General features: G+C 44.3%; 1 long non-coding RNA gene and 1 other non-coding gene across 4 annotated transcripts in view, besides 4 other annotated features; one reads left to right on the plus strand and one right to left on the minus strand.

Moving 5' to 3' along the window:
• Positions 926 to 1,937: an enhancer, noted in NCBI's record as "E4 fragment used in the pGL3-Promoter-E4 construct". NCBI's record gives its function as "activates an SV40 promoter in transfected LNCaP and VCaP prostate cancer cells {active_cell/tissue: LNCaP | VCaP}" and the evidence as "EXISTENCE:reporter gene assay evidence [ECO:0000049][PMID:31405024]".
• Positions 1,648 to 1,809: a silencer, noted in NCBI's record as "fragment chr21:42908593-42908754 (GRCh37/hg19 assembly coordinates)". NCBI's record gives its function as "represses an EF-1alpha promoter that drives an FKBP-Casp9 reporter gene in an ReSE screen in phorbol 12-myristate 13-acetate-treated (for megakaryocytic differentiation) K562 erythroleukemia cells {active_cell/tissue: K562(+PMA)}" and the evidence as "EXISTENCE:reporter gene assay evidence [ECO:0000049][PMID:32094911]".
• Positions 4,188 to 4,308, plus strand: LOC124900472 (small nucleolar RNA SNORA32). The gene has a single exon (XR_007067945.1). It is a non-coding gene; the product is annotated as a small nucleolar RNA SNORA32 (small nucleolar RNA).
• Positions 11,188 to 11,366: a silencer, noted in NCBI's record as "fragment chr21:42918133-42918311 (GRCh37/hg19 assembly coordinates)". NCBI's record gives its function as "represses an EF-1alpha promoter that drives an FKBP-Casp9 reporter gene in an ReSE screen in K562 erythroleukemia cells {active_cell/tissue: K562}" and the evidence as "EXISTENCE:reporter gene assay evidence [ECO:0000049][PMID:32094911]".
• Positions 17,786 to 26,425, minus strand: part of LOC105372809 (uncharacterized) — a 28,541-nt gene continuing 19,901 nt past the window's right edge. For 2 of the 3 annotated variants that reach the window (XR_937739.1, XR_007067871.1), the window contains exons 3-4: positions 25,314 to 25,434; positions 24,102 to 24,355 (exon numbers count right to left, since the gene is read on the minus strand). This is a non-coding gene — a long non-coding RNA (uncharacterized LOC105372809). Of the gene's footprint in view, positions 18,175 to 24,101; positions 24,356 to 25,313; positions 25,435 to 26,425 lie in introns of those variants that run through there. The other variant, XR_937738.1, reaches the window with a different exon arrangement.
• Positions 24,134 to 25,333: an enhancer, noted in NCBI's record as "BRD4-independent group 4 enhancer chr21:42931079-42932278 (GRCh37/hg19 assembly coordinates)". NCBI's record gives its function as "activates an origin of replication core promoter dependent on BRD2, P300/CBP, MED14 and CDK7 cofactors, and independent of BRD4, by STARR-seq in HCT116 cells {active_cell/tissue: HCT116}" and the evidence as "EXISTENCE:reporter gene assay evidence [ECO:0000049][PMID:35650434]".

Consider the following 26,425-nt stretch of genomic DNA (forward strand, 5'->3'; position numbering starts at 1 on the left):
AGCACTTTGGGAGGCCAAGGTGGGTGGATCACTTGAGGTCAGAAGATCAAGAAAAGCCTGGCCAACATGGTAAAACCCTGTCTCTACTAAAAATTCAAAAATTAGCCAGACGTGGTGGAGTATGCCTGTAATTCCAGCTACTCAGGAGGCTGAGGCAGGAGAATCACTTGAGCCCAGGTTGCAGAGGTTGCAGTGAGCCGAGATCATGCCATCGCACTCCAGCCTGGGCGACAGAGACTCTCTCAAAAATAAATAAATAAATAAATGTTTTAAACTCATAATTTCACCCATGGCATCGATGATGGAGACATGAAGCTGGACCCCCACCCAGCCATAGCTTGATCTGTATATGGAAAATGCCTTCCCTGTCCTGAAATTCAATAAAGAGAAAATGACAGAAGAACCACATGCACTACTGTTTTTACAAATCCTAGAGTCATGTAACTTCCTTAAGAAAGACATTATTAGCTGAGTACCATTTTATCGGGAGGAGCTGGGAGTGTGAGTGGATTTCATGGTGCCACATCAGCTCTGGTTTTGTGGCAATCGATAAAAGACACCCAGAGCAGCAGGAGCAAAGCCATAGAAGGGAGAGTTTATGGTCAATATTTTTGATATGTAGAACCTGTGATACCTACTGTAAAAAGTAATTACAATAAATATTCTAATTTAAAATTTTCATCATTCATAATAGAACTGTAATCAAATAGGTTTGATTTTAAGTGATGTGTCATAGGTCCAGTATTTTGATAAATACTTCCTGAATATTCTCTCATTCCATCCTTGGAATAACACTGGGAGGAGGGGTTAGTAGCCCTGTTTTCCAGAGGAAGCACAGGGTCTGAGCTTGTTGTTCAATGTTGCCTGGTATTTGGGAGCTGGGCTGGATTTGGAGAGGAGAGGGGGACGGGGCTGTGTCTACCTTCAGTATAGTCAGGCTGGACACTGTGTAGCCAGGGACGGTGCAGTCAAGATGGGTAGGGATGCGGAGAAGTCACCAGCCAGGACAGTGCCACCCTGAGTGGGTGCCAGCAGACTTGTGCCTGGGCATGAACCCTAGGGGCGATCCATCTGCACCCAGACAACCCAGCATGGTGGTGGGGGAGGTTTCCCAAAACTCCAGCTTTATTTTTGGGTCCAGAAGGAAGCACTGGCCAGGGGTAAGGTTGTTGGAAGAGCATTCCCTGTTCCACGTGGGAGTTGGGTTGGTAGCCAGGGGCAAGCTGAGAAGCTGGGAGAGCTGGCAGGAACAGCGAGGAAGTGGCAGGACAGAGACGGAAGTGAGTCCTGACCTGTCCTCTGCCCATGCCTGCATGCTGTGCATCCACTGCCCTGGGAGTCGAGGTGATGGCCCCGTACTGGCCCCAGGATCCGCTTCTGTCATTCTACCAGCTGGGATTGCAATGATTTGTCCACTTGTTGAACGATTCAGCGTTTTTTTTTTCTGCTACTTTTCTCACTACCTGCATCTGAAAATACTTCTCTTCCCTGGTCAGCCTGCGGTCACCCCGGGGGATTGGCTTGCTGGTTTTTCCAGTTGGACCAGATGCACCCATCGGAGCTGCATCAGCCTCTGGGCCTGGAGGAGAGAATGTTTCCTTAGGCACATCTTGGCTGCCACCAGAAATGTCAGCCTCGCCGGGCGTTATATGGACTCATGTGCACATCCAGGCAGGGTCCAGAGCCCAGGATGTTTGCATTCAGGCTCCAGGCCCCCAGTTTCCAGCGAGATGGCTGTCTGCCAGCCACCGAGCCCTCGGCCTCAGCCTCACCTCTGTAACGTGGGGATTTGGTGATCTGCCCAACCAGTGGCCACGTGAAATAATAGATCTGAGAATGCTTTGAAGAGAGAAGGAAGCACCAAAGTAGTCCACAGCTGGCTGGGTGGGCCGGGGTTTCTCTGGTCTCGGCTCATTCCGGCTCATTCTCTGTGTCAACACTGGCAAGACGCACCCACTCTGCACAAACTCTGGGCGCTCAGTGCTGCTGGAGGGAGGATGCGGCATATTTGCAAGAAGCCTACAAGGGGCCCATGCTAGTTTTGTAGAGGATGAAGTTTATACAATGTGGGGGAACTTCCCTAAGGAATAGTATACAAAATTATAAATACAAGAGCAGATCCAAAGCAGATTATATTGGTTTAAAATGAGAAATGAAAATATAATGGATTACAAATTCTAAAAAGCTAACAGTATCATAATATCACAAATCCACAAAAATAATATAATTTTATTAATTTTATAATTCCTTTTAAATTACAGCTTTGAGGTGCATACTCTTTGCTTACTTCTTAGGACAATAACTATAAAAATAGCATTCCTGCTGAGCACTTGGAAGGATACTTCAGCCTTCTCTTGACATGGTAGCTTCTGGCTCTGGAATTCTAAAACCCCCTTCTCTACTCCGTTTCCCGAAAACTTAAAGTGCTGGGCACCATGGGGCATACTGTACCTCTACGGTGGGGAGACACCTGGCCCTGCACTTTGCCACCCAGCAGTCACTGTGTGTGTTACGTGTATTCCTGGAAGCCATTCCCACGGCTCAGAGTTAACCACAAATTACCTGCACATGACTGCTGACAACATAAGAACTACTCACTGGTCCCAACTTTGGTGCACCTCCCACTCCCTTAGCACTGCTCCAGTATGCCTGACCACTGCACTACGGCCAGGACACCCAGAGAGGAGAGAGAGCATGAACAGAAACAGACAGCGATCCTCAGGATTGCCACGAAAATAGCTTACTCTTGCAATGTTCGCAAAATGCCACAGCCATGCAGCTTTCTCCCAGGACTTCTAGGCTCCAGCTTTCCAGGAAATCTCCCATTTGAGCTCAACAGGAAAGTTCTGGAACCAACCTAGCTTCTCTGTAGTGCTTGGGAGGTCTGAACCCACTGTTCTCAAGCCAGTGAGACCCGGGCGGGCCCTTTACCTGGACTTCTCCAACCTGGACCCCTGCAAACCCGTCTGTCTCTGCTTCTGCAGGTGAAGCGGGAGGAGGAGACCAAGGCCAGCGCAGCCCACCCGCCCTGCACCAGTGCACGGTCCCCACCCTTTCTCTTCCTTTCCGTGTCTTTACTTGTCAGCCACCTCATTTGATTAGTTCAGAAGAGGCACAGGTAGCTCATTGCCTTTCTCTCCTTATTAGTGAAGAGATAGCACTTGGTGTTTCTAGTCCAGGAAGCATGGAGGAGCCATCCCCGAGCAGACAGGGGTAAATTGGTGGTGAAATGATCACTGGGGTTCAGACAAGTTAGATCTGATATGAATTCTGGATCCCCAAAGGGAGACACCAAGGAGGCAACTGAATATCCGAGTCTGGAGTTGCAGAGAGGCCCGGGCTGGGGGCAGGAACACAGGAGTCTTTCCCATGTGGGTATCAAGACAATCTTTAATGCCGTAATGCTGGCTGGGATCTCCCAGGAAATGAAGCTGGAGACAAGAGCCCCATGCAGTTCCCTGGGGCACAGCAGAAAGCTCTAAGGAGGGACAGGAGGAAAACAAGGTGAAGGAGGTGCTTGGGCTAAATTGTGGCCCCCAAAATCCATATGTTGAAGTCCTAACCCCCGTACCTCAGAATGTGACCTTATTTGGAAACAGGGTCTTTGTGGAGGTGATTGAGTTCGAATGACGGCATTAGGGTGGGCCTGGTCCGATCTGACTATGTCCTGTAAGACGAGGAGATGAGGACACAGATGCACACAGAGGGATGACCCTGTGAGGACACAGGGAGGAGATGCCATCTGCAAGCCGAGGAGAGAGGATTCAGAGGAACCAGCCCTGCCAATAACTTCATCTTGGATTTTCAGCCTCCAGGACTTTGAACCAATAAATGTACGTTGAAGCTCCCCACCTGTGGGATTTGTTATTGCCGCTCCATACAGGTGGGGGCCTGGGAACCTGGACTCATACAGGTCGGGGCCTGGGAACTTGGGAAAATCGTGCATCGCAGAGTGGGGCCCAGGAGGCCACTGCTGCTGGGGGTCAAGTGAGAGTAAGGCTGGGAATGTCCCTCCTTCCCCATGAGCGTTCTGAATTGTTTTCTGATAATAACGGAACAGATATGTTTGGAAATAGTTTAAAATCTGGTACTGTGACTGGTGCTTCACATATTTGTTTGTCTCAAAACACACAGATAGGTAATCTATATAAAGAGAAAACAAGAAGACACAGACTGGAAAACAGATCTGGTTGTTACCAAGGCATTTAGCATGCAATTTCTCATTTGCTGTGGACACGACGAGAAGAGAATTCCTCACTCGGTTTTCTGTCTGCCACCTTGCTAGCGATCAGCCCACTGGGAACATTTTATTAACCCCTTATTAAACTTTTATTAGTTTTACTTCCATTGCCTAGATAATCACTGTCCAATGAACACAATGCAAGCTAGAAAAAAAAACAAACTACTGAAAATCCAGATGGACACCTTTTGTGGGGGCAGAAATGGAACAGAAACGCTTAGCAGCAGCAGCGAGGGACATTGCAGCCACCAGCTGAAGAAGGGCTCCTGCCCCAGGGGTCCGGCGTGGTTTGGGTCTAGGGGTCATGGGGCCAAGAGGGCATCCAGAGAGACAAGGAGTCAGGGTCAGAATCAGACTCTGGGAGTGCAGGTTGAAATGAGACTGCTGCAGACCTCCCTCCTGAAATGTTTGTAGCAAACTGGTCCCCAGCAGGCCTGGGGACAAGAAGGTGTCTCAGCAGGATGGGAAAAACTGAGATGCTGGGCCAGGGACACTCCGCTGACTTCTAGGCAGGGGTTGCAAATGTCACGGTGAGACCTGGTCCTGGACGGAGACCAGCAGGCAGGAGGAGGCAGTCACGGAAATCCACAGAGAGAAAAGAAATTGCATAAGGAGATGGCACTCCTCAAATGGGGTGGGGCACCACAACTCCAGAACAAATGCCAATGCAGGGCACAGATGAGAAAAGCCATCATTAGAATATGCATCTTAGCTGGGTGTGGTGGCACGCACCTGTAGTCCCAGCTACTCGGGAGGCTGAGGCAGGAGAATCGCTTGAACCCAGGAGGCAGAGGTTGCAGTGAGCCGAGATCGCGCCACTTCACTCCCGCCTGGCAACGAGTGAGACTCCATCTCAATAAATAAATAAGTAAATAATTGAGATGGGTTCTCACTATATTGCCTAGGCTGGATCCCAACCCCTTGGCTCAAGGGATCCTCCTGCCTCAATACAAATACCAATTTTTGTATTTGTAGTAGAGACAGGGTTTCACCATGTTGGCCAGGATGGTCTCCATCTCTTGACCTCGTGATCTGCCCACCTTGGCCTCCCAAAGTGCTGGGATTACAGGCTTGAGCCACTGCACCTGGCCAATTTGTTATTTTTTTATAGAAATGAGGTCTCACTATGTTGCCCAGGCTAGTCTCAAACCCTTAGGCTCAAGCAGTCCTCACACTTCAGCCTCCCAAAGTGCAGGGATTACAGGCATGAGCCACCATGCTTGACTTCAATTAAAAAAAAATAGGCATTCTTTCCAGGAAAATTAATTTTACAGAAAATCTGACATAGACTTTAAAATAGGTATGTGAAGTCCGCTCACAGAGATAACTTCAATTTCTCTGTTTGGATTTCATGATGCCCCGGAGTATCTTTTATGCATAGGAAAGACGATTTGCAATGACTTTTTAAAAAAATATATTTGATGTTTCAACAGCTACAAATTTTAAAACATGGTTTTTCCTTAGGCTTTCATGTTTAATTCCTCTTGTTCTACTTAGAAATCTGGAGAATTTTGATAATTACTCAGAAAAGGGGCTTTACAATTTTTGTTTATTAAATGTTCTCAAATGTTTTGAATTGCATTTATCATTTTTAAATATTTTTAGTTTCATTTTAAGTACTTCAGTTGTCTAACAAAACTTTTTCAAGTACATGTGTAATTTTAATAGCATTCATTTATAAATGTGGTTATTTGTAAGCTGTCTTAAATAGTTTAGTATTGTTTCAAGAAACAGAAGAGGTCTGTTTTCAGCTTGATAGCAAAGATCTAAATTAATGCCTCAAAAACACACTAGGTTGCAATCACAAGTCCAATTTGCTATATTCTCAAGTAATCCAAACTGTCTGAAATATTACAAACATTTTAAACCCCTAATTTACACAGGTTATTCCTTAACTTAATTTTTTAAGTGTTGGTTCTCTTGTTTTTTCATTGTCTTTGTTGGGGATTTGATAAAATTCACCCTTTTTGGGGCCTGCAGCTTGTACAATTTCGGGGCTCTCTTTAAGAGAAAGAACACACATTCATGACTATGAAGCGAGCTCCAGGGACTCCAAAGGGGCACACGCTGTTAAAGGGCCTGAAGCTTCAACTTCATTGATTTCATGGTAAATTCAACTACAATTTCTATGTTTCTTCAAAGACTTTCCCGGGGTTAAAAATCACTTACCTATCAAGTAAAACAATTTCATATTCAAAGCAAGCGGTGGTGATCCACCCAGGCCACGTTGTCACTGTCCTCACAGTCCATCAGTGAGGGCTCTCACTCTGTCTGTGACACCCAAGGGGCCTCCAAGTGCTAACCACCTGAAACAAACCGAGGTCTGATGAGGGATGCTGCAGTGATTCTTCAGAACATTATGGACGGTGGGGAAATCCCAAGACCACCAGAGGGAGCAGATGGATTCAGGAACAAACGTTAGCAGTCAGCGAACTTGGATCACCAGAAGCAGACACCGGAAAGAGGAAGAGCTTCAAAGCACTGAGCAAAAAAACCCACCCAGTGGAATCTTATACCCAGCAATAGTTGATTCAAGAGTGGAGTGGAAATAAAAGTATTTTCAGATAATAAAAAATTAGTCGTTTTCCCACTTACTGTCTCCCATTAAAGGGATATTAATATAAGTCGTTGAGTAAGAAGCAAATTGAAACTAGGAAGGGCTGATCGCAGTGGCTCAGGCCTGTAATCCCAGCACTCTGGGTGGCCGAGGTAGGCAGATCACCTGAGATCAGGAGTTCGAGACCAGCCTGGCCAACATGGCGAAACCCTGTCTCTACTAAAAATACAAAATTAGCTGGGCGTTGTGGTGCATGCCCGTAATCCCAGCTACTCAGGAGGCTGAGGCAGGAGAATCGCTTGAACCTCAGAGGTGGAGGTTGCAGTGAGTGGAGATCACGCCACTGCACTCCAGCCCAGGCGAGAGAGCAAGACTTCGTCTCAAAAAAAAAAAAAAAAAAAAAAAAGAGAGAGAAAGAAAGAAAGCTAGGAAAAGACCAGTGATTGAAGAAATGAAGGTAAACATAGAAATGGATAAAATAATGGGAAATTAAATTTCCTCTTGGCAGAAAGAGTGGTAGGCAGAAAAATGGCCCCCAAAAGACACCCAGGTCCTAAATCCCAAAACCTGTGAGTATGTTCCCTTACTTAGCAAAAAGCACTTTGCAAATGTGATTAAGGTTAAGAATTTTGAGACAGGAGACTATTCTGGGGTTTTCAGGTGAGTCTAACATAATCAGAAATTAACCTTTCCAGGGTCAGGAGAAGAGAGGTGTGACTACGGAAGAATGGTCAGAGACACACGATGCGGCTGGCTTTGAGGAAAGAGGATGGGGCAGCCTGTAGAAGATGGAAAAGACAAGGAAACAGAGTCCCCTTTGGAATCTCTGGAAAGAAACGTAACCCCATTGGCATCTTGGTTTGGGCCCAGCAAGACCCATGTCAGACTTCTGGCCTGCAACACTACAAGATAATAAGTCTGTATTGTTTAGCTCACTCCATCTGTAGTAATTTATTGCAGAAGCAATAGGAAAAACAAAACTAATACATCCACTCACCCGCCCAATCCCCACCCCCCACGCACACCTATTTAGTGTGTTAAGAATGGTTAAACCCAAGCGGCAGGGGACAGTAGCAGTAGGAGTCCGCAGAGGCATGGCTAAGAGTGGTTAAACCTAAGCGGCAGGGGACAGCAGCAGTAGGAGTCCGCAGAGGCATGGCTAAGAGTGTCAGAGTGTCTCCTTGAGAAGGAGAATAGAAATGCTGATTTTCTTAATCTTTTCTCTTTTTTTTTTTTTTTTTTTTTTTTTGAGATGGAGTTTCGCTTTTGTTGCCCAGGCCGGAGTGCAGTGGCGCAATCTTGGCCCACTGCAACCTTCACCTCCCAGGTTCAAGCGATTCTCCTGCCTCAGCCTCCCGAGTAGCTGGGATTACAGGTGTGTGCCACCATGCCTGGCTAATTTTTGTATTTTTAGTAGAGATGGGGTTCACCATGTTGGCCAGGCTGGTCTCAAACTCCTGACCTCAGCTGATCTGCCCGCCTTGGCCTCCCAAAGTGCCAGGATTACAGGCGTGAGCCACCATACCCAGCCAGATTTTCTTAATAGTTTAAAGAAAATTTGTGGTGACTTAAGCATATTAAAGAAGGACCATCTCAAAAGGAATTGAAACTTATAAAGCTCCAAAGCAGGAGAAGGGAGAAAAGGGAATGCAAAAATTTTATTACTTCAACAGAAAGTAGAAGAGGAGAGAAAAAGGGAATGAAGAAAAAATTCAGTCAGAAATCAAAAGGTGAACTAGAGGAATCCCAAATATATTAGCAACCACAAAAAAATGTAAATCACATACAAAAGATGGGAATGATCAGATTGAATAGAAAAACAAAATCCAGCCATATGCTGTTTAAAAGATGTAAGCCCAGGTAATGTGTTTGTGAACAATAACCTAAAGAAATATGCTGTAGTCATATGAAAATTAGACAAATAAAATTCCAGGGCTCAGAATATGCTGCCCCAGAATAGGACACCCTGGCACACTGAGTATTTTAAGGTGAAGGAAACTGAGAATCTCGCAGAAGCAGGGAGTTCGCTCTCTGAGCTTCCTCCTTCCTTCTCTCCTGGAATAGGTCATAAGACCCTCATCCCAGAGGAGTCCTCCTCTACCCGGAAGAAAGGAAGGAAGACACAGAGATGCCAAGAAGAATCTGAACAAACAGGTCTGGCTAAGCTCCCTTAACCTTCATTAAACGTATGTAAAAACTTCATAAACCTTCACTGTATTACCATTAGATCAAAGCCCGTTTGTCCACTGTCATACTTTTCCACAACTGTTTATAGAAATACACAGTTTCAGCCAGGCATGGTGCCTCACACTTGTAGTCCCAGCACTTTGGGAGGATGAGGCAGGAGGATTGCTTGAGCCCCGGAGTTTGAAACTAGCCTGGGCGATATAGTGAAATCCTGTCTCTACAGGAAAAAAAAAAAAAAAAAAAAGCTGGGTGTGCTGGTGCATGCCTGTGGTCCTAGCTACTGGGCAAGCTGAGGTGGATCACTTGAGCCCCAGCATTTGAGGCTGAGGCTGCAGTGGGCTATGATGGCACCAATGCACTCCAGCCTGAGCGACAGTGCAAGACATCGTCTCTAAACAAAACAAAACAAAAAATACACCATTTCCCTGCTTCTGTGGGTCTTTATTTCTGAAGGCTCTCGTGTGACATAAACCTGACACTAAATAATTTTGTATGCTTTTCTCTTCTTACATCTGTCTTTCGTTATAGGGGTTTGGGCCGTGAACCTAGCGATGGGTGAGAAAAATATATTACTTTTTCTCCCCTATTAGATTTTAAAGGAAAAGGCATAAGCAGGGATAAAGAACTCCATATAAGAATAAAATGGCAATCTACGATCTTTTAAAGGATACATGTAACATATATTAAAATTGATTACATAACATGTTACAAAGTATGTAAGTACTTTGTAAGGAAACAATTAATAGAGTTCCCTATACAAGCTAGTAAATGTAATAGAAACCTACAAAACAATAAAGAGAATCAATCAAACTGGTTCTTAAAATGAACAAAAAGCATAAAATAGATAATTTCCCATCAAGACTGACCAAAGAAACAAGAGGAAAGGCACAAACTACGTAAGAATAATAGGGAAGATAAAAAGAGAGATTAAACATTTTAACAAAATATATACATGACTTTATATTTGTACATTTTAAAACTTGCACAAAATGTGTACACTTCTAAAAAAAAAACCAAATCGCCAGAATTAACTCAAGAAGAAAGTAAAAGCCTGAGTAAATCAATGCAACCACTAAAGAAATTGAATCTGCATCAAATACCTCCTTACAGCCTAAAAAGATACTAAGCCCAAATTTACAGAATTTTTTTTCTTTTATCAAGAATTCAAAGAACGCTTATCTTATGCAAACAGTTACATAGACTAGAAAAGAAAGTTGAAGCATTTTGGGTCTGAACACCAAAACCAAATGAAAGCAGTGTAAGTTAGATACTAATTTCAATTATGAACTTAGATGCAAATATTTTATTTACATACATAAATAAAATATCAGCAAACTAGATCCAGCAGTATATATTTAAAAAACTTAAGACCAAGTAGGATTTATCATAGCAATGCAAAAGTCTATTAATTTTATAAACTATCTTTACAGATGCTCTCTATTGCCAGTTCTAGTCAATATTGTGCTAGATTCTAGCAAGCAAGCAAGCAAGCAAGCAAGAAAGAAAAGAAACTGGAGGGAAGGAAGAAAGGGAGGCAGGGAGGAAGGGAAAGGAGGGAAGGAAGGAAGGAAGGGAAAGAAAGAAAGAGAAGGAAGAAAGGAGAGAGAGAGGGAGGGAGGGAAAAAAGAAAGAAGGAAAGAAAGAGAGAGAGAGAAAAAGAAAGAAAGAGGAAAGAAAGAAAGAAAAGGGAAAGAAAGGAAAGAAAAGAAAGAAAAAAGAAAGAAAGGGAAAGAAAGGAAAGGAAAGAAAAAAGAAAGAAAGAGAAAAACTGGAGGAGAGGAAGGAAGGGAGGGAGGGAGGGAGGGAAAGGAGGGAAGGAAGGGAAAGAAAGAAGGAAGGAAGGAGAGAGAGAGGGAAAGAAAAGGAAAGGAAAGAAAGAAGAAAAAGAAAAAGAAAGAAAGGAAGGAAGGAAAAGAAAGGAAAGGAAAGGAAAGGAAAGGAAAGGAGGAAGGAAGGGTTAAATCAAGTTTAGCCTCAAGCTGCTCCTTACGTATTTTAAGTTCAGCCCAAAGGTTTCTCTGTACCTGGTGACTATAACCTAAATGGAGTTGTAAGCAGACCATAGCCTACTCTAGTGCCAGTCACTGAGTTTTGGCCGATCAAAGGTGGCCAACTGTTCGAACCATGTTCAAATAAGGCAAATGCCGAGCTGTAACCAAGGTGGCTATTTCTGTACCTCGCTTCTGTTTTCTGTATGTCACTTTCCTTTTCCTGTCCTTAAATTGTCTTCCACCACTTGGCTGTGCCGGAGTCTCCGAGCCTACTCTGGCTTGGGAGGCTGCCCCATTTGCAAGCTCAATTAAACTTTGCTCAATTAAACTCTGTTAACTTTAGTGGCTAAGGTTTTTTTTTTTTAGAAGAAAGGAAAGGAGGAAGGAATTAGAAAGGAATACGAAAAGCTGTCATTATATGCAGTAGATATAACTGGCTACTAGAAAATGCAAGAGAATGTACAACTACTAGCACTAACAAGAGAGTCTAGCAAGGTTTTGGATACACAACCAGCATATAAAAATTAGCAGCAGGTGTTTACACCCCACAATGTAATCCAAAAAAGGATTCCATATAATTGCAGCAAAAATTATTTGATCCCTAAATCTAACAAAAAATCTGCAAGAGAAAACTTAAAGCTGATTTAAATAAAAACATACCACGCTAATAAACAGAAAGACTCAATATCATAATGATGTCAATTCTGTTCTTTCCAAATGAATCTGCAAATGCAATGCCATTTTGAGCAAAGTTTCTAAGGGCTTTCCAAGTGTCTTGCCAAGCTGATTATAAAATTCATATGAAAATTAGAAGTCCAAGAGTTTTAAAGAGGGAAAATTCATCTTCCTAGGTATCATAATTCATCATAAATACATAAATTAAAACAGTATGGAACTGTTCAGAGAACAACAGACAGACCAATGGCATAAAACAGAAATCCAAGAAACAGACTTTCAATTGGTGGCAAATTGGTCCTGAGGCCAGGTAGCGTGACAAAACAGTGGGGGAATATTTGGTAAATGCTACTGAGGCCCAGCTTTGTGAGGCAGGGGGTTTTGAGAGTGGGGAATACCAAACTGGCCTGAGGCAGAGGAAAGCTGACTTGCTTTCTACCTGGCCCCCATCCCCAACACTCCCGAGCCTGGGGACCACTTCTATTCTAGAGCGACAGATTTGCTCTATAAAAACAGTTGCAGTTAGAACTGGGCCATGCTGGGAGGCTGCTGGCAGGGAGGCTGGCAAGAACTCAGGGCTGGGTAGAGGCTCTTGGGGGTGCACAGACAGGAGACACCTGTCTCCTTTTCTGGGGTGCCAGGAGTCCTGGCCGGTGATGGACAGGAATAAGCAGAGGCCCTGAGAGTGGCAGCTGACTTATTTTGGCATGGGTGCACAGTTGCTGAGCTGTTTCCTCTGTGGGTGGCCCAGCTCCCAACCTGAGACCTATCTGAGCATCCATTGTAGCCTAGGTTCTGCTCTTACCTAAGGAATCCTTACAGCCTTCAAGGTTTGTGGAATCTCTATTTTATAGAAAGCAGCAAAGGTGCTCAAAGAGGCTAAGTAACTGGCTTTTTTTTTTTTTTAATGGAGTCTTGTTCTGTCACCCAGGCTGGAGTGCAAGGGCACGATCTGGCCTCACTACAACCTCCACTTCCCCGGTTCAAAGGGATTCTCCCACCTCAGCCTCCCAAGTAGCTGGGACTACAGGTGCGCACCATTATGCCCAGCTAATTTTTATATTTTTTGTAGAGCCAGAATTTTGCCGTGTTGGCCGGGCTGGTCTCGAACTTCTAGCCTCAAGTGATCCACCCGCCTTGGTCTCGCTAATGCTGGGATTACAGGTGTGATTCAACATGCCTGGCCCCACATGCTTTTTAAAGCAGCTTGGCTGGGATTTGAATGCATGAGTTTCTGACAACACAGGTCAAGAAACATCTCCCACCATACCCTCTTTAAGAGGCCACCAGCACTTCTGTTAGAAGTTGCAGCAGAGAAAGGATCCTTTAGGCACATCTCCCAGATCCTTGCGAAGAGGGGCAAAGGGAACTTGGAGGAGGCCAAGCTCCTGGGAGAAGAACTGTATCTAAATGCAGATGTCCTATTGTTGCCGTCAGAGAAGACACACCCGAAGCTGAGACAGGGCTCTCCCAGAAGTGAAGGAAGATTTCTTAGTAAAAGTTTGCAGGTGGGGCTGGAAAGATAGGCTTCTGAAATAGGGGGCTTCTAACATCCTTGGGTGAGCCCCTAAAGCAGGTGGGGGCGGGGAGAGGGTACTTGCAGTGAGTGAGGATAGTTTTAAGGTAATCAATAGTTAGATCTTCATTTTACAAATGGGCCTCCCAACCCAAAGCACCCTGCCAGAGAGGCATCTGAGGACACAGCCCCCCTCCACTTCCACCTCCTGACCTCACCCAGCTCCCCCTCCCCAAAAGCGGGAGGAGGTGATTGGGGTGTGGAGACAGCAAGCACCCCATGACTAGGTATTGATCCTGCAAACCAGAAAGTTTCCAGTTCTTGGCTTTAAGCAGGGCAGATGAAAGCCCTACATTCGTTGCCCCCTGAGAGACCATTAAAATCACATTGATCGTTACTGACCATAGGACCCACGAATCCTCCCCATCCCATAAGGCAGGCATTGCCAGATGACAGATGGGGAAACTGAGGCACAGGAGGCTGTAATAGCCTGCCTGAGGTTGCACACCTAGTAAATGATGGAGCAGGGCTGGGAACTTAAAAGTGTGGCTTTCATCGTGAATTCTGGGGTGTAACCTGGGAGGACTTCACAGAGTGAGTAGGATGACTGCAAAGTCCCCGTGTTCCCATCCACTTGTCCAAGGCAAGCTTGTTTCCTCAGCACTTACACTGATACATCAGAGAACAGAGGCCAAATTGGTGCTGAGCTGTCTCATTCACGCACGGATGCATAAACAAAATGGGAACCTCAGAACAGCCTGTGGACTGGATTTCTGCCCCTGCCATGCACGGATGCTCAGCCTGTCAACTGGATTTCTACCCCTGCACGTCGGTAAGTAGCTGGCTGTGCTCAGGCTGTGCCCAGCTGGCACCCAGCCCCATGGAGCTCGGGGAGTGTCTCCAAAGGGGGAAGGGAATATTGGAATTTATGGTCAATTTGAAGGGTGGCCTGAGGCAGGACATTCACTGCCTGGCAGGTGAAGGCGGACATAATTAGAACTTGGCTAGGGCCTTCAGAGGATTGGTGGGAAAAGTCAGAAGAGGATTTTGAAGCGAGGTGTTTGGAAGAATCTTAGCGTTGTCCATTGATATCTTCCACTGCAGTGTTGACGGGTCTTTCAGGGAGTTACTGTAATCAAACCATTTGTCAGGACGCAGGTGCCTGGAATGGTCAAGAAATATGACAAGGACAACAGGATGGTGAAGTCCTCTCAGACTGGGAGCTGCGTCTGTCCATGTCTGTGTCTGTGTGTGTCTGTGTCTGTTCACGTCTGTGTCTGTGTGTGTCCATGTCTGTGTCTGTGTCTGTGTCTGTGTGTGTCCGTGTCTGTGTCTGTGTCTGGGTGTGTTTGTGTGGAGGGGTATGAGTTCTCAAATCCTGCCACCTCATGAACAGATCCTTTTCTGGTAGATGCTATTAAACACAGAAGTTACAATTGTAACAATATCTATGCTATACTTATTGTTGTCACCAGCCGTGCATTAATCATTGAGATGATAACTCCAATTCAGGAGTTATCAGGGCCCTATGCCTCAGATAGTTTTAAATTTGCATTTTCTTCTAGGGGAGTATGACAAGTTAATCCAAAAAAGACATAAATAAATGTTGTTAAATAAATTTGGACTTAGGAGAAACTTTACTGGATAAGATATTCAAACAGAAAGAAAGGGACTATTGCAATGGGGAAGAGGGACTATTACAATAGGGACAGGGGACTATTGCAGTGGGGGAGGAGGACCTACTGCAATGGGCGAGAGAGCTGCTGCAATGGGGGAGGAGGACCATTGCAATGGGGAAGGGAGATTATTACAATCGGGACAGGGGGACTATTTCAATAGGGACAGGAGGACTATTGCAATGGGGAAGGGAGATTATTACAATAGGGACAGGGGGACTATTTCAATAGGGACAGGAGGACTATTGCAATGGGGAAGGGAGATTATTACAATAGGGACAGGGGGACTATTTCAATAGGGACAGGAGGACTATTGCAATGGGGGACAGGGATCATTACAGTAGAGACAGAGGTACTATTTCAATGGGGAAGGAGGACTATTGCAATGGAGGAGGAGGACCTATTGCAATGGGGGATGGGGATTATTACAATAGGGACAAGGGAACTATTTCAATGGGAGAGGAGAACTATTTCAACAGAGAAGGAGGACCTATTGCAATGGGGAAGGACGACCTGTTGCAATGGGGGAGGAGGACTATTGCAATGGGGAAGGAGGACTATTGCAAATGCGAAGGGGGATTATTACAATAGGGACAGGGGGACTATTTCAATGGGGGAGGAGGACTATTTCCTTTTTTTTTTTTTTTTTTTTTTTTTTTTGAGACGGAGCCTTGCTCTGTTGCCCAGGCTGGACTGCAGTGGCACGATCTCGGCTCACTGCAAGGTCCGCCTCCTGGGTTCAAGCCATAATCCTGCCTCAGCATCCCAAGTAGCTGGGACTACAGGCACCCACCAGCATGCCCGGCTAATTTTGTTTTGTATTTTTAGTAGAGACGGGGTTTCGCCGTGTTAGCCAGGATGGTCTCCATCTCTGCACCTCGTAATCTGCCCACCTCGGCCTCCCAAAGTGCTGGGATTACAGGCCTGAACTACCGCACCCGGCCCAGGAGGACTATTTCAATGGAGGAGGAGGACTTACTGCAAACCGGGAGGGAAGCCATTGCAATGGGGTAGGATATTGTTACAAAGCGGGAAGGAAACTATTGTAATTGGGAATTACAATTGGGAATTGGAAGCAGTTATTCTCCAACCATGAGACCTGCAAGTATCTGAAGAGGTAGGCACTCCTCTCTTTTGTAGAGAGGAGTAAACAAAACTAGGAAGAGCAGAGTCTGGGGCAGTGACATGGATGGGAGGCACATGGTCAAAGAAGGTTTGACCTGAGGCCGGCCTCTTCTCAGAAGGGGCTGCCTGCAGGCGCAGGCTGAGGGCAGTCCAAGTTTAGGAGCCCAGGGAAGGAAAGAAGCTTAACCAAAGTTTGGTTAATGAGGATTTTGTTCTGATTGATCAGTGGGCAGAGCAACTCAGCCAATCACTGATGGCCAAAGAATAGAAACCTGGAAGGCCTCACACTGGCCTTGTCCTAGGTCAACATGGACCATCGGTGACTTGCATCTACATCACATGGGAAGGTCATTCCTTGCAGTAAACCATTTTCTGGAACACAAAAGGGTAAGAGGATTTCCTAACCTCCAGATAAAGTTCAACGTTGTCAATATTTAATGTATTACATTTAGATAAAATCAGTAGAGGCCATAGAATAGAAATGCAAATTCACGGAGAAAAGCATTCCCATAAAATTTCTGTCAGAGAGCTGGTTTTCACGCTTTTTAAACGACTAGCGGCTGACGTCAGATTGCTGTGCTAGTTAGATTCCATTGGATACATTTTAAAGATGATGTGAATTTTGTTTAAAATGTCAATATTCAAATTACGCTGATTCCCTACTTGACTAATTAAATGTATGATAGAAGTGTTTAGATATCAGCTTTAAAAGTACAAAAGGGCCGTGGTCTTTCAAAACACTTTAGAAATTCTATAAGTAAAGATCTAAAGACTGCTGCCCCAGGAGTGGGTGGGAGTGTGTCTTCAAGGTGATTCTCAAAGGCTGCCTTAGCCATGGGTGGTTGCATGTGATCCCATCAGCAGCCCAGTCCAAGTAGAACTGGAGGACAAGACGTGCCCCTCAGCCTAGTGGTCAGCCCTCTGGCCTGGAGGCTGCAGGTGACTCCTGTGGACTGACAGGCTTAGTAATGGAAGTGCTTACTGCTCAGGTCCCAATCCCTGGGGGACCCAGGCCTCAGGATTTTCACCTCCCAGGTGACTCCCAGGTAACTCCCAGATGAGACAGGTTGAAAGCCTCCACTGGTAAAAAGGCCCAGTGCACCAATAAGCAAAGGGTTTTTCCTTCTTTGTTTTTGTTTTTAACGTTTATTTTAGGTTCAGGGATACATGTATAGGCTTGTTACATGGGTAAATTGCATGTCACAGGGGTTTGGTGTGCAGATTATTTCACCACCCAGGTAATAGGCATAGTACCCAATAGTTTTTCTGTCCTCATCCTCCTCCTTTCCTCCACCCTCAAGTAGACTCTAGTGTCTGTTGTTCTCTTCTTTTTGTCTGTGTATACTCAATGTTTAGCTCCCACTTATAAGTGAGAACACACGGTATTTGCTTTTCTGTTCCTGTGTTAGTTCTCGTAGGATTATGGCCTCCAGGTCCATCCATGTTGCTGCAAAGGACACAACCTCGTCCTTTTTTATGGTTGCGTAATGTTCCATGGTGTATATGCACAACATTTTCTTTATCCAATCTACCGTTAATGGACATTTAGCTTGATTAACAGACACTGTTCAAAAGAAAACATACACGTGGCCAACAAGCATATGAAAATGTTCAACATCACTAATTATTAGATAAATGCAAATCAAAACCACAGTGAGATACCATCTCACACTAGTCAGAATGGCTATTATTAAAAAGTCAAAAAAAAATAACAGATGCTGGCAAGGTTGTAGAGAAAAGGGAACGTAAATTAGTTCAGCCATTGTGGAAAGCAGTTTGGCAATTTCTCAAAGAACTTAAAGCAGAATTACCGTTCGACCCAGCAATCCTATTATTGGGCATATACCCAAAGGAATATTCATTGTTCTACTGTAAAGACGCATGCATGGTGTGTTCATCACAGCACAATTCACAGAAGTGAATTTTTTTTTTTTGCTTTGTATTTGCCACACTGTAGCTGATCGACCTGAGAAACAAAAGAGTACTGCTACTAAAGGAACCCAAGCTCTGAGTTGTCTCAAGTTTCCTCTTTTCCTGTTTTTCTCAGGTAGAGTTTCTCTCCTTTAGCTCATTCTGTCCTGAGAGAAACACCACTCCCGGATGTTGACCCATCTATAGCAGGAATTCTCCAAGTGTGGCCCCTCCCCGGCCAGGCACGGGTCTGGGAGGAAGCCGGCAAGAAGAACCAGCCTGCTTTGGGTTTTCACCTGGAAAAGAGGCAGAGCCATGTTGATTTTAGTTTGTGTAAAGCAATGAGCTATTTGCCTATAGCCTATGAAATAAATTATTAAAGATTACAGGCCGGGTGCGGTGGCTCACGCCTGTAATCCCAGCACTTTGGGAGGCCGAGGCGGGCAGATCACGAGGTCAAGCGATCGAGACCACCCTGCCCAACATGGTGAAACCCCGTCTCTACTAAAAATACAAAAAAAAAAAATTAGCTGGGTGTGGTGTCTCGCGCCCATAGTCCCAGCTACTTGGGAGGCTGAGGCAGGAGAATGGCGTGAACCCAGGAGGCGGAGCTTGCAGTGAGCAGAGATCATGCCACTGCAAATCCAGCCTGGCGACAGAAGGAAACTCTGTCTTAAAGAAAAAAAAAAAAAAGATCACTACTAATGCTATGTATTCCCTAGCTAAAATGAGCAGCCTGCTACTTTACAAAAAATTCCAAAGTGGCCCCGACGGTGCCCCGAGCGCTTCCCGCTTCTCCCTTGTTCATGAAGCTGCCTCATATCCCGGGAACTAGGCCACACTGGCCATTAAAGACACCGTCCTATGAGAAAATCCATAGACAATTTAACAATGTGGATTAGTCCGATCTTTACTTAAAATATAAAATGTGTTAATTTCATGACACACATTAGAAAGGTCAGAGGTTGTGTGTATATAAATTCCAATTTGCCACATTGTTTTTTTCCCCAAGCTCTCATTTGATGAAGCCATTTCATTCTAACTCTCCTTGCCTCTATGACATGCAGTCTTCTTGTCACAGACGTGCCTTTTGAGCTAATCTTTTCCAAGAGAACATTATAAGGTCTTCAGTTTCCCCTAATTTCTTTGAGCTCTGCTGACTTCAAGATACTGTTGCTGGAAACTTTATCCCTAGCTATAAGTACTATTTATACAACATTAGAACATTGTTTCTTTTTCATTCCTTTTGTAAGAGAATTTTTTTTTTTTTTTTTTTTTTTTTTTCTTTTTTTGAGACGGAGTCTCGCTCTGTCGCCCAGGCCGGACTGCGGACTGCAGTGGCGCAATCTCGGCTCACTGCAAGCTCCGCTTCCCGGGTTCACGCCATTCTCCTGCCTCAGCCTTCCGAGTAGCTGGGACTACAGGCGCCCGCCACCGCGCCCGGCTAATTTTTTGTATTTTTAGTAGAGACGGGGTTTCACCTTGTTAGCCAGGATGGTCTCGATCTCCTGACCTCATGATCCACCCGCCTCGGCCTCCCAAAGTGCTGGGATTACAGGCGTGAGCCACCGCGCCCGGCCTGTAAGAGAATTTACACAACATAGACAACCTATTGCTCTTAATGTGGTCTTTACATGGCTTTTTTTTTTTTATATATATGGAGTCTCACTCTGTCACCCAGGCTGGAGTGCAGTGGCGTGATCTCGGCTCACTGCAACCTCCAACAAGGCTTATTTTTAACACCCTACACCTCTGAATATGAGGTCATACCTCCTGGAATAATTCAATCAGTGTTAAATATCTTTTCTTCTTTATCTACTGTTAGTGATTCACCCCCTTGGCTACTCTGGACGTCCCCAGCAAGCACAGATTGAGGTCAATCCAGGCTACTGTGCCTCCTGGAAAAAGAAACTGGCCTTTTGTAGAAAAGCTATTGATGTTATGTTTCACAATAAAAACATGAGTTTAAAAAGCAAGTATAAGAATGCCTTATAAAAGACTTCATGAGAATTTAAGTGGAAAGCAACCTACTAATCTCTTAGAAGGTTATTTTTTGAGGGGGAAGAATATTTAGGAACATATTCAGTGATTGTGATTGCTGAAGATTTTCAATTTGTGGTATCATTAGTGTTGTTTTGAGTTGGCTGTGGTTTTCCATTGCTGCTTCATGCTTTCTGCTTATAAATTACTCTTAATATCAGTCTTAGTATTATCAATTTGATTTTACTCTTGAGTTAACAAATTGTTAATCAATTTGTGTTGTTTGGTTAACTCAGGAGTAATATGTTAATAGAACTGTCTAGGATTTTCCTGTAACTAAGCCTGGAGCCTTGTACCATTGGAGGTCACATGTGCTACCTGAACTTTCTCTGCCAGATAAACATAGTGGATGCAGCCTAATCCCTACAGGCCTTATTCAGGCATTAACAATCTGCTGCCTGTAAATCTGCACACATGAAAATATAGGCAAAATTTTCTCACAGTAAGTATATTAAAACTATCATATTATTTGTAACTGTATAGAGTGTTGTTCATAATTCAAGTAATATATATAAGTCGATATTCTCTTCTAATTGAAGCATAAATAAGTCATTCATAAACATTTCTAGGGCAAGTTGAATATTTCCTTGTCTCCATTTTGTTGTTATCACAAAATTCTTTTTCTGATGCAGCATGAACATGGGTAGATACTGGCAGACCTCTAGGTCTTTTGCTCTAATTTAGTTCACTGTGATCAAGGAAGATTCTGAATTAGTTGATCTCTAAATTCTATCTAGTTTTGATTTCTAGGCACTCAGGAGAGGTATGCAGTGGGGTGTGTGCAACTGTGCACTCTCATGCACACAAGCTCACCCACTCAAGTTACATGTATACATATGCAGGAAGGCACAAGTACATACATGTACACATAGACACACACTTTCACACAGGCACCCCTGTCATCCTTTGTTTTCTTTTCAGCAATTCCATTCTCCAGTTCAAGATTCACCCAGCAAGAGTGAGGACACTTCAGTCTCTACTGATGGTAGAAAGGGAGGAAGAGAGAAGGAAAGGGAGTGAAGAATCATTGAAAGTTTCATGTGTTCCATTAAATAATCATATTTTTGTAGTCATATAGACTGATCTGAAATGGTTCTCTCATTTCTCATTTCTTTTCTCTCATTTCTCTTCTCAGGAAATAAAAATGACTTAATAACGAAGCCTGAAATAAGCTGTCTGAGAGGCTTTACGTGGTGGTTCATGTCTGTAATCCCAGCACTTTGGGAGGCTGAGGCAGGTAGATCATTTGAGGTCAGGAGTTTGAAACCAGTTTCACCAACATGGTGAAACCCTGTCCTACTAAAAATACAAAAATTAGCTGGGTGTGGTGGCACGTGCCTGTAGTCTCAGGTACTTGGGAGGTTGAGGTGGGAGAATTGCTTGAACCCAGGAGATGGAGGTTGCAGTGAGCCAAGATCGTGCCACTGCACTCCAGCCTGGGCGACGGGAGTGAGACTCCATCTCAAAACAAACAAACGAACAAATAAAAAACAAAAAATACTGCCTGAGAGCCACGTTGCACAGAAAGGTTGACCCTCAGTTGGCATCTGACCCATTCAGAGCAATCCCCCAGCCCTCACAATGGTCAGACTTTGACTCATGGACAAAGCAGGTTGGGAGGAGCTGGTCACAGAGCTGTGCCTAAACCAGGCCAGCCGCCTCCCCACTTGGTGTGAATGACACACCATCTCATTCAATCTTTCAAGCAGTGTTCTGTCTTTTAGTTCTGGCTCAGGTAAGGGAACTGAGGGCGTTTTGGGTCTGGATAATTGTCTTGGGTCTGGAGACCGACGAAGGTTTTTAGGGGCCATTACTTTCAAATAACAAATGCCTTCTGAACTGTAAATTTCTGTAGACTGCCAAGCAGCACAGCAAAGGGGAATGCACAGCAATCATCCAAATACACTCTCAGGTTCACCACTTCATCCTCTGTCCTCCCAAACTTAGCAGAAATGGCAAGGTCTCCCTAGAGGATGGTTCTCAGCTCTAGAGAATCTAAGCCAACCATTGAAATTCCAGCTTCCTTGAGAGTAAGTGGTCAGAGCCCCCAGGTCTAAGCCAATCAACACAAGGCATTTCCACGGTAGCCAGGAATCGGCTCAGAAATGGACAGGAGACCAATTAAAGCCAATGAAACAGCGGGGAGGTTGGCTGGAAGCTGCTGGAAAAAAAATCCCTTGCTCTGTAAAGGGAAGACGTCTTTCTCTGTCACTAAATGTTACCATGTGTATACACTATGACTGCTGTGGCCATCTGTCAACCAAAAACTTTTAGGATGAAGCTTAGAGACATAAAAATACCTTGATATTTGGTGACCTTTTAAACTAATCAAAGTCCCAGTAAATGGTACATTGAAATTGGGAAAATTTAGGGAAAGTTTAATAAAGTGACTGTTTTAAAAGGTGTAGAATGGATAAGGGAAGTACTTGCTTGAAGTTAGTGAATGTGGGAGGAGGTGTCCCCATCCTGTTCTCCACCACCAAGTTCTGAAAGGGGAGTTGGGAGGTACCTTCCCAGAACCTGAAGACCGAGAGCCTCATGGATAGGCCTTCTGGGAGGAGGCTGCACCAGCCTGGTGGTGGGGGTGCCTACAGGAAGACAGCTAGGGAAATAAATACCCAAACTCACTTTGCTTTCTACTGTGATCACCTGCTGATGCTCCCCATTTGCTGAATTCAAATGGAAGTCTGTAAGGTCAGCTTGCTGGGACAGAGAGGGCTGCGGAGGCAACCTGGAAGGACAAGTGCAAGCTAGGCACACAGCCTCTTAGAGCAATCGGACACTGCTGGATTTGCAGTTGCATGAGGCTGTTAATTGCTTTATTTTAAAGACACTTTGAATTGCCATTTCTGCTTATTGCACTCAAAAGTATCTTAACAATCATAGAGAAAATATTCTACATACAAAGCCATACTAAAAAATAAAAAATGTTATGGGTTAGGAAGGGAATGGATATACACAGAAGGGGCAGGCAGAACCCACAGATGTAGAAATGGGCAGAGCCACCAGGATCCCAGCTCCTGAATGGGAAGGGGCATCTGTGGTGTGTGCTTCAGGAGCCTAGAGTCAGCCTCTTTAGGAAACAAAGAGAGGAGCGGGACTTTGCTCCCAGGAGTAAAAGGCCAGGTTGCTTTGATAAGGACTGCTTGTCTGACCTTGGAAGAGGATGAAGTTCGAGGTGGAGTTAAACGCAGGCCTACCAGCCACAACAGAGAGGTGAGAGAAGAAGGAGAGCTAAACAAACCAAGCGATGGGAGCTTGCAAAAGAGTGTTTCAAAGCCGGGGGAAAAATACATGGCTTGAAAAAATTTACAATAAATGCGACAAATTGGAGAATGCTTCTGAGGAAATCTAAATGATAGACCAATCATCAGAGGATTTATTTAACTGTGTGTGATGTTCAAAGAGACGAAAGAAGGGACGACCACAGGAAAAAACAAAAATAGGGTGCTGTGAACAGCTTGAGCAGCTATCAACATGAAGACATGGATTAGATAAATGAAGGATTGGAGATTCTGAAAATAAAAAACTATAAATATTGAAATAAACAATAAACAAGTAAATGCAGTTAAAGCGAGAAACAGCAGATTGTACTAAGGAATTAATGCTAACAGGACAGAGAGACAAAGAAGTAAAAACATATGAAAGAGACAAAATAATATGGAAAATAATATAAGACACTCCAACATGCATCTAATAGACGTTCCAGAAGTAGAGAATACAGGAAATGGTGGAGGACATATGCGAATTATAATACCTGACAATTTTCCAAAATTGAAGATAGACATGATTTTCCAAATAGAAAGATAACATTGGGAAACAAGGAGAATAAATAAAGATAAATTCATAGTCAGATGCAGTGCATTAAAAACGCAGGATATCAAGGAAAAAGAGAAAATCTAAAGGCTACTAGAGCAAAAAAGATTTAAAAAAAAACCTACACAAAGCTAGGAAGATTAGGCTAAGAGCTGACATCTCAACATTAAGAATGGAAGGTGGCTACTCAGGAGGCTGAGGCAGGAGGATGGCTTGAGCCCCAGGAGTTCAAGTCCAGCCTGGGCAACACAGTGAGACTGTGTCTTAAAAAAAGTAAATAAATAAATAAGTAAATAAATAAATAAATAGAGGAAGGTGGTGAATGAAAATATTCAAAAGTCAGAGGAAAATGACTTTCAATCTAGAATTCTGTAAACCACCAAATTTTTATTAAGATTGAATTCAAAATAAAGACTTCAGACTGAAAAAGACTTAAGAGTTTACCAGACAGACTTTTGATGAAAACTATAAATAAGTAGTTCTCAACCTTGCGTGCCCATTAAAACCACCAGGACATTAAAAAATTCCAATATCCAGACCAAACCTAGATGCAGGAGGTGTTGCTTTTTGATCTTCCCAGGTGATTCCAGTGTTCAGCCAGGGTTGACATCACTGCTTCACCTAATTACTCCAGAAGAAGAAAACTTATTCAGAAGAGGTTACCAAGAGCACCAAAATCAGTCAACTGCCAGTTAACAATGAACTATTATTTGGGGATGGGATCCTCTGTGTGACAGTTTCATTGCTTGGTGTGAGGGTTTTTGAACAATTTGAATTTCATTTGTCTTTTTCTCTCCCAAGTGAGTTTTTCCTGTTCATTTTTCAAGTAACTTATATTTGTTTTGGGGGGAAGGGCCGGTTGGTGGCCTAATGTTATTCACATCAATGGACTGTAATCTCGCTGCACATTAGAAGCTAGTCCCTGTGGTTCCACTTTAATCTGTAAGCAATGAGGCTCACCTACAGGAGTTGTCAAATCTCTCCAGGGGCAGCCAAGTTTGAGAACCACCGAATTAGTTCTCTGGGTCAAGGACACCAGAAGAAATGAAGAGGAGAAGGGAGCATTGAGTCTACTGAGCAGTTGTGGAGACCCCTTAGAAAGAACAGCACTGAGTTCTTTAGAAGGTACAGAACTGGCTCATTTTCACAACTATCTTAGGTAAAGAATCAGTGCATTAAACAAATTACTGTTTTCTGAACAAATTGGCAATATCAAGAGTGTGTTGGTAATTTAGAAAATTGCTTATTTTTATTTCTTCTTGGCCTATTTCTACTATTCACATCTGGAACAGCCAGCTCATTCGAGGGTGTTGGTGGTTCAGAAATCTAATCTCAGCCAAGCTTTTTCTGGGGGGAATTTGGATGAGTCAGTTTATCGTTTGGTGCGGTTACTTCCTTAACTATGGTGGGGAAATCCAACTAATCTTATACGTATGTGTGTTTTACAACGATTTGATACCACGCTCTGGGCAAGGCACTGGGTGGTTATTGGACGATAAGGTGATTGTATGGGGCTTCCTTGAAAGCCTAGTGACCTTCATTCAAGCATTTCATTTTAGTTCATTTCAACAAGCATTACCTGGAGCGTCTGTTACACAGATGTCCTGAAGCCCAGGATGAGTAAGACACCATCCCTGCCCCGAAAATTGAAATCTGTCATAAATAATTATTCTTGGAACAGGAGTTGCCAATGTGAATGCCTAGGGAACAAGACGGTGATGCTGTAAGTCCAGAAGGCAGTGAACAGGAAAAGGGTTATTTATGTGAGCACAAAAAGCAAGGCGCTCATTAACCCAGCTGTCTAAACAAGGGCATCTCCAAGTCGACTTCCGTGAGACCTTATCACTAAAATAAAAGCTGGCGAACTTTGGAGGAATTAAAGCACTCCCTTCTAGAATCAAACTGCTGCCCAGCCTCTCAGGGTTTTCCACACTTTCATATGCGTGAAAACCCCCGGCACGCTTGGTGTAAAATGCTGATTCCCTGGTCCTACCTGCGCAGACGCTGCATCAGTGGGTCTGAGGCAGGGCCCGGGCATCTGCATTTTAAATCAGCTCCCAGGAAAATTGTTGCAGGGGTGGGTCACACTTTGTTAAACCTTGTGGGTGTGGGCACTTCTCCCTGCAGCTCCTTCCTCTAACAGCCGGGTGTGTCCTCTGGGTCCCTTCTGGCCGACCTCCTCTGGGCAAAAGTCACTTCTCTACTGACCTGAAATCTGCCACACAGCTCAGTAATGGCTCTGATAAACAGGGACATCTCATTTATTGTTTCTTTCCTGGAACACTTTATGGTCATCAGTGAGCTGTCACCATGAGGGCTCATCCAGTCTCAAGGCAGAGAGCCTCCCCGGCAGTCAGCAGTGGCTCAGGGGCCCAGGTAGCAGTGTCCTGCTGGCAGGGTCAGGTGACTAGTCCCCTGCAGAGTCTCTAGGTAGGTGGGCTTTAGAGATCCTCTGGTTTGATTCTCTCATTTTACATGTGGAGAAACTGAGAAACCGAGGCTTTAGAAAGGCCATGTGCTTCCCTAGGTCCCAGCACTGAGGCAGAACCGGGCTCCACTAGGGCTTCCTGCTCCCTTCCTCTCTGCTCCAACCTGCTCCAGCCCCTTTATCCTCGCTTTACCAGATTCTGCCATGTTTGGGGATATTTGAGGAGTGCCACATTTTGCAGGATTCTCCATCAGCACAGAGTG

This window comes from Homo sapiens, chromosome 21, assembly GCF_000001405.40.
Source record: "Homo sapiens chromosome 21, GRCh38.p14 Primary Assembly".
NCBI classification, from domain to species: Eukaryota; Metazoa; Chordata; class Mammalia; order Primates; family Hominidae; genus Homo; species Homo sapiens.